This window comes from Homo sapiens, chromosome 4 (genome assembly GCF_000001405.40).
Source record: "Homo sapiens chromosome 4, GRCh38.p14 Primary Assembly".
Classification (NCBI taxonomy): domain Eukaryota; kingdom Metazoa; phylum Chordata; class Mammalia; order Primates; family Hominidae; genus Homo; species Homo sapiens.
In genome coordinates, this window is record NC_000004.12 from 189,147,374 (window position 1) to 189,149,835 (window position 2,462).

The following is a 2,462-nucleotide window of genomic DNA, read 5'->3' on the forward strand; positions in this document are numbered from 1 at the left end:
TATTTTATGTGATGTTATTTTTGTTATTGCCTTAGCATTTTCCTGGATCTTCGCTGCAGCTTTCTGCTTTTCCCCAGCTGTGGGGCGCTGGACCAACAGGCTGCAAAGCCATGTCAAGTGTGGGCCTCGGCTTGGCGGCCCCATGTGCAGACTCTAGTCAGCAAGCACACGGGCTGTTTCACAAACATTAATTCTAAGTCCAAAACCAACAGTGTGAAGTAAATATTAGTATCCCTAGTTCATAGAGAAAGAAACTGAAGTTCAGAAAGTTTAAATAGATTTCCCGAGCTCAGATCGCTGTAAGTAGCTACACCGAGGTTCACGTCCAGGACTGTGAATCCAAGCCTGGGAAGCAGCCAGCACGCTGTGGTCTCACTATCCAAAATGTTCTGGATAGGCCAGGCGCGGTGGCTCACCCCTGTAATCCCAGCACTTTGGGAGGCTAAGGCGGGTGGATCACGAAGTCAACAGATCGAGACCATCCTGGCCAATATGGTGAAACCCCATCTCTACTAAAAGTACAAAAATTAGCTGGGCGTGGTGGCACTCACCTGTAGTCCCAGCTACTCGGGAGACTGAGGCAGGAGCATCACTTGAACTCAGGACGCTGAGGTTGCAGTGAGCTGAGATTGCACCACAGCACTCCAGTCTGGTGACAGAGCGAGACTCCATCTCAAAAAAAAAAAAAGTTCTGAATAGATATATAATGCGTTAACAAAATGGGAAGAGGTCCACAAATCTGCTGGTGTGGCAGTATCATAGGTTAGAATCACATTTTAAACCTTATCAGGATAATTTCTATGATTCTGAAATTTCAGTGTCTAACACTAGAAAATAAATCATCTGAGGTATGCTTCTTAGAACAACAGGCAGAAGCCTCTGGAATATATTGTCTGTTGTTTGAACTTCATTTTCCATTAAAACAAAATGATATGTGTGTGTTCATTGGTTTATGGATGTGGTTTCTTTATTTCTGTAACTCTTGAACATTGATCACAGTCATTTTTTTGGCCACTGTCATACCTCTCCTTTAGTCCTGCCCTCCAGTTGTACAAATTTATTTGTTTTAATTTCTGATTCAAGATGATATATTCAGAACCTACATATACTTCCCTTCCCATTGAACACTCTCAGGAAATGATGTACATGAACAATATTTTTTAAAATCAATAAAAGTTTAAAAGAGTAATTAAGGGTAGCATCGGGGAATCTGAAATGTTGTGAAATGTGTGGAGTATAGAATAAAATGGATTTGGATTAATAGAGAATCAAACAATATAACATATGCACATGGATCCACACTGGTAGATTCTGCTTAAAGGAGACACAGAGGTGAAGAAATGAACCACTCTGGATTCTTATGCTCATGGCGTAAAGGGAGATACTGTCTATAAATTTCCCTGTCTATTCTAAACTGAAAATGGCATGCTAGAAGACAGACCAAGTAATTCCCGGCCACAATGCTTGAGTCAGAGATGGCCACATGCCCCAGGCAGAGCCTGTGATGAGGTCCTGATGCGATACCAGGAAAATGTGGAGGACTCTTTCTCTCTGCAATCGAATTTGGGAGGATGGCGGATGGAGCTGCCAACCTGTCTTGCACCGCCATGGAGCATGAGAATAAAGCCAATACCTGGAAGAAGGGGGAGCCACACCCAGGCACGGAGAGTGATCAGATGGTTGTTCTTTGTTTGTTTGTTTGTTTGTTTTTGAAGTCTCATTCCTTACACCCAGGCATGGAGAGTAATCAGATGGTTTTTGTTTTTGTTTGTTTGCTTGTTTGTTTTTGAGGTCTCATTCTTTACACCCAGGCATGGCGAGTCATCAGATGGTTTTTCTTTGTTTGTTTGGTTTTTTTGAGGTCTCATTCCTTAGCCAGTTAAATTCATTTTAAAAAAGAATTTTGGGCCAGGCGTGGTGGCTCACACTTGTAATCCCAGCACTTTAGGAGGCTGAGGTGGGTGGATCACCTGAGTCAGGAGTTCAAGATCAGCCTGGTCAACATGGTGAAACCCTGTCTCTACTAAAAATACAAAAATTAGCAGGGTATGGTGGTGCACACCTGTAAACCCAGCTACTCGGGAGGCTGAGATGGGAGAATCACTTGAGCTCAGAAGGCGGAGGCTGTAGTGAGCCTAGATGGCGCCACTGCACTCCAGCCTGGGCGACAAAGTGAGACTTCATCCCGAAAAAGAAACAAAAAATTGTGTTTTCTTTGAGTTGCATTTAATGATTTCTACCCTAAATCATCTTTCCCTACAACATCGTAAGCTTGTTGTTTTAATCATTTCTGTTCTACATGACACAGAAAATGCTGAACAGACATTTGTTGTTAATAAACTAAACTATCTGATAATTTTTGCTTAAACTTAACAAGCTCCACACTGTATGTATGCAATTTCTATTTCAAAGTAAATGAGAATAAAAGGTAGAGTATCAGGTATGACCAAATCAAATTTTGT